Raw genomic sequence first — 5,679 nt, 5'->3', positions numbered from 1 at the left:
AAGCAGTAAGGACAATTTCTTTACTCGGCAATCATTCAAATACAATAACCTGCCCAAATTAGGCTCACCAATATTCACTGTTGTCACATGAATTCAATTATTGATAGGAATTGTAAAAATGAAATGATAAATATGCAATCATGCTAAGTTGAGTTATATCTATTCAATCTTCATTTTTCAGACTGACATGGAACTGTTAAAATTTCCTAGTGATAAACAAATAATAGTGCTCTAATATTATAAAAGTGCTCCTCATCTAAGTGTGAAAAATGTTTGTGATTTCTTTAAATAGCTGTTGAGAACAATGACAGGTTTTAAAGAATATTGTTAACAGAACTTCAAGATCCTTGCATATATTCTTTGATATAAATAAAAATGGTGATGACAAGTTATCTGGGAAGGGCAAAGTAAAATATGTAGGCATTATGCTCTCTGATATAAACCCACAGTGTGTTTAGTCCTAGGATCTTGAAGGAGAGAAATTAAATCAAAACATTTCATTCAAATGATCATTGTTATTTTAGAGATTACATTTTTTTAGCCTCCATAATTTCTCACTTTCAAATGGGGCTAAAATATCTTTTGTAAACCTCTCTAAACTCTGTATAATCAAGAATCCTGAAAAAGATTAAGAGAGATATAGCTTATGATTAATCCTGGCTCCTCTCTTTTGTCAAACAAGGCATTTTAGTATAAATACGTTATCATGAAGGAAACCATTTTCATCTTTTTGTAAGTTATGAAAACCGCTCTTTGTGGAGAGTGAATGATAAAGCATGTAATTGCCTATTACCTGATAATTGTGCTAATAAATATAGAAAGAAAATATCTTAACTTTCTTATTTAAATCTAGAAGGTTAAAAGTAGAGTAATGAATCATGCTGAGATTCATGAGAATTTTCTGAATCATTCAATCACAAGGGAGGTACAGAAACATTTGGCAGATAACTCAAAATGAAAAACTGTGAGAAGTTACTATGAATTTCAAAAGGACAAAACAATGAACAAAGAGTAAATCTCCCCCACTCCAGCCATATTATCTCCATGCTTTAAGAACAGTGCTACAAATTAGTAAAAGTTTTATTGATTTGTATTATTTATCTGAATAATTAGAAGTTTCAAGAATAAAACCTTTTTATGTTTGCCACAGAAATAATGTAGTCTAAATTTATAGTTATATTTTATTTACATTCTCTTCAGTGTAGAATAAAAATTAAGCCAAGTAGCCCCTTAAGCCAATTAGCTTCCAGTACAACAAAATGAATGGAAGACTAGTAGTGTGTGTGCATGTGTGTGTGTGTAACTGAGATATCTCAACTTTCAGAGTATAAACAAGAAGACATCTACTATAAAAATAAATAAATATATGTACCATATATGTCTACATATTTAATTGAGATACCTCAAGTTTGAGACTATAAACAAGAAAAAATCTTTATTTATTTTTCAAAAATTGCCATGTTATGATGCATATATTTAGTTTGGCCCTGAATAGAGAGTCTATTAACTACCTTTATTCTAGATTCCGTATTTTTTCTATTGCTTTATGCAATTCACATACTGTTATTTGGGTTTTAAAATTTCAAGATTTATATCTGATTCACCTCTTATTCCCCTTCTTAGTGAAGACTAGAGGTACAAATAGGAGTCTAAGAAAAAGATGCAGCTATGGTCTGGCTCTCAAAAAAAAAATGGCCTTTTATAAAGTGATAGGGTTAGGGGAGGAGATGGGAAAATATAAAAGTCCTTTTTACAAGGCTAGAAGAGGTTGCAGTCTGAGCTGAGACTGTATCTCTGACTAATGATACAGTAGTACAATGACCTGACTTGTAGGAAACCCAAAGGCTGCCTCTCTGTGGGGTGCATAGAACATACATTTTAACACTCTGTTGGACCATCCCATTGTTCATTTCTGTAATGTGCTCTTACTCTACCTTGCCCAGGTCCAGTCCTCTTCTGCCAGAAGCACTCTCTATATTTTGCTGAACATGAAGACTTCTGGGAAAGAGGATATAATAGCAAGGCTTCTTATTCTTACTACATTCCAATACATTTATTTTTCTATGCACGACACGTCATCAGGTAAGAAAACAGGTTGCAATCACTTGGTTGCCTTTTTATTTGTTTACTTACATTCCAGCAGCATTAAAGCTTCTGAGGGCTGACAGATTTCCCAAATTTCTCTAATGAAATGCCACTGGTTTCTATGTAAAAGACAGACGGTATATGGTTCTCAAAGTCCTTTTTCCTTCATAAACACAACTTTACAAATACCTGCTGTGGCAGCTAAGCAACTTACTCTATGGTAGTCAGATATCTATCCCTTAGATTATCTATTTCATATAAATGACAGGGGAACAATAGGGTTGCTGGAGAGATGTTATAAAATGGCCACCTTTAAATAAACCCAACAGACATTAAAGCTGGCATTTGTATGAATTTAGAAGGTAGTATATTTATTTAGGGATTTTCATAATCTGATTTATTTGATTGTTCACAACGGTTTCAACTCAAAAGAGAAAGTGTTGTTTAATAACTTATATTTGACAAAGAATGTTAACGGATGGGATAAGATAAATTTGGTGAGTTAATACATTAATTTTGGCACGGAAGATTTCTTTGCCATAGCCCAGAAATGTTAATATTGCAATTAGAGTTGTAACTTTGGAAAACCATGAGGTATGCCCTTTCTAAAAGGAGATTTATTTTTGCTATACCAGCTTTACACATTATCTTTACTGTAAGAAGCTTAAATGCATATCTTCTGTCTTATTTCAAAATTCAGTTCTAGATTTGTTATGGGACATTTTGAAATATTTAACAATGTGAACATTGACATCTTAAGAATTTCAGTTTATGGATAACTAGATTATTTCTCTTCCATTTCTGCCTAGAGTGTTATCTCAGGATACATTTCTAGAAACTTTTATTTAGAACATTTCATCTTTTTTTTTTGCATTTACTTTTACCCCAATAAGAAAATATAATAAACATTAGGATTCCTTTTTGCCACCAGCTGTATTCCTGATGATCTAAAAGTAGTATATCTGCAGCCATATATACCTGCTGAGACAGACTATAATTAAGAGCCTTTCTTCCCTCAAGTTTGCCAGTTCTGCTCCACTCACTAACAATTCAGGTTCAGGTGTGGAAAAAAAAAAAAAAAGATGTTAGGATGTGATGATTCATTGTTATCAATTTATGTCATAACTACATCAATGTAAAACTCCCCTTTTTGCTGTAGACTATTTGTTATTTCGCATCAAAGAGATAAATTTGTCTAAGAAGTAAAGGCAATAAAGAGCTGTAGTTAGTTTCACAAGATTAATATATCTGCCACAGCATATTTCAAGTTCAACTGGGTAGGGAAGCAATTAAAAGCATTAATTTGTATATGATCAGATTTCAGAGTGATAAATCAAAAGATGGCAGATTTAGAGCATCTTTCATTTTTGTTCTATGCATGATTTCATTTAGAGGCCTACTACTATAAATAATACTTATGGAAATATTCAGTATTTTCTTTAAGATAGAGATTTATTTTCTAGATTCACATAAACACACTGCAATATTTGCTTTCAAGTAATACATTTTAGTCCTCTAACAGACACTAAATTGACATCACCTTCCCTTTTTTTCCTTTTGTGGTTGTACTTTTTCAAAATATACAAAATAGGTTTATTTTATGTAGTTTATTTTTACATAAACATAAATTCAAATTATTTCTGCCTATTGACGTGAATTAATTTCTGATGGAAGAATGGAAGAATGAACGGGGAGTCAATTTTAAAAATCTATACAGTTCACTCCATTTCTGTCAGTAAATTTTAGCATTAATATTTCTTTATATTTCAATGTATCATTGATATCTTTAACTTTTTGTTGTACTTGGTTTATTTATCTTCATTTCTATTCAATGTCACTTCCTAATCCTTTTATATTCTCTCCAATCTCACCACATTATTTTATCCCCTGTTTAAATTAACTATACCTTTATATTTATTTATTTATTTATTTATTTATTTTTAATGTTTTTTTTTTTTTTTTTTTTTTTTTTCTGGCTCTGTTGCCCAGGCTGGAGTGCAGTGGCACGATCTCGGCTCACTGCAAGCTCTGCCTCCCAGGTTCACGCCATTCTCCTGCCTCAACCTCCTGAGTAGCTGAGCCTAAAGACGCCCACCACCACATCCAGCTAATTTTTTGTATTTTTAGTAGAGACGGCGTTTCACCGTGTTAGCCAGGATGGTCTTGTTCTCCTGAACTCGTGATCCTCCCGCCTCGGCCTCCCAAAGTGCTGGGATTACAGGCATGAGCCACCGCACCCGGCCTACATTTATATTTATAATTTCATTGCATTAACTGAAATGTCAGTATTATTTATTACATATTTATTGCACTTAACAAAATATAGTTATCTAATGGTTCCTAAAATGTTACATTAATAAAATGAATTAAATTTCGGTCTAATGGCCATTACCTCCTTTCAAAATAATACTAACTTCACAGCTTGAGCCCTTTATTTGTTCACACCCATTTGAAGCAGAATTCAAGAAGGAGGAAGTGGGCTCAGGGCCTAGGCTGAAATTGATTTATTTTAGCCTTGATCTATGATCTTTGTAACCTTTTACTGAAGAGTTAATTATAAAAATTAAGCTAAAAGCACTCTAAACTCAAGTAAGAAATTAATGCATTTTATAAAATATTTGCTATCCACAGCTTGTTTTTTTTTCTTTTTTCTTTTTTTTTTCAGACAGAGTATCACTCTGCCGCCCAGGCTTAAGTGCAGTGTCACCTTCTTGGCTCACTGGCAAGCTCCGCCTCCTGGATTCAAGCCATTCTCCTGCCTCAGCCTCCCCAGTAGCTGGGATCACAGGCATGCACCACCACACCCAGCTAATTTTTGTATTTTTAATAGAGACGAGGTTTCACCATGTTGGACAGGTTTGTCTTAAACTCCTGACCTCAGGTGATCCACCCCCCTCAGTCTCCCAAAATGCTGGGATTACAGGTATGAGCCACCGAGCCCAGCCACAGTTTTTTTTTTTTTTTTTTAAGAAAAAAAAAAAAAAAAAAACAAGAGGCAGGCAAACTGACTAGGAACTATGTAATGGGGCACTTCTGGAAATTTCAATTTATGTAATTTGTTACAGATTTTGAATCTATATGAAAATTGGCCATTACATGTCAAATTATGTAAGGGTACATAATTTGAAAATGGTGTGTTTTCTTCAAGAAGTAGGTCTTGTGAAAGATTGTCATTTATTTATTTTGTAAATGTACTCTGTATTACTCAGGATTATCCAGAGAAACATTGCTTTTAAGGAACTGGCCCACAAAATTGAGGGGGCTGGCAAATCCAAAATCTTTACGGCAAGTTGGCAGGCTGGAAATTCAGGTAAGTGTGGATGTCACGTCCTGATCCATAATCCACAGTGCAGGGCAGGCCAGCTGTAAATTCAAGTATGGCTTTCGTGGTTCAGTCTTGAGACCAAAGTCGTTCTTCAGGAAATCTGTCTTTGCTCTTGAGAACTTCAGTTGATTGGATGATGCCTACCCACATTATGAAGGGTAATCTGCTTTATGCAAAGTCAGTTGAGTTCAATATTAACTGCATTTAAACATATCTTCATAGTAACATATAGACTACTGTTTGACCAACTGGGTACCATGGGTTGCCAA

The 5,679-nt window shown here is 33.7% G+C and overlaps 1 long non-coding RNA gene across 1 annotated transcript; it reads left to right on the top strand.

The window, feature by feature from the left end:
- Positions 1-1,943: 1,943 nt before the first annotated feature.
- On the top strand, positions 1,944-5,077 carry LOC124903227 (uncharacterized). The gene is made up of 2 exons (XR_007063894.1): positions 1,944-2,082; positions 4,751-5,077. It is a non-coding gene; the product is annotated as an uncharacterized LOC124903227 (long non-coding RNA).
- The last annotated feature ends 602 nt before the right edge of the window (positions 5,078-5,679 follow it).

This window comes from Homo sapiens, chromosome 13 (assembly GCF_000001405.40).
Source record: "Homo sapiens chromosome 13, GRCh38.p14 Primary Assembly".
Lineage (NCBI taxonomy): Eukaryota > Metazoa > Chordata > Mammalia > Primates > Hominidae > Homo > Homo sapiens.
Note: the sequence above shows the minus strand (reverse complement) of the source record. Positions and strands in the feature narration are given on the sequence as shown.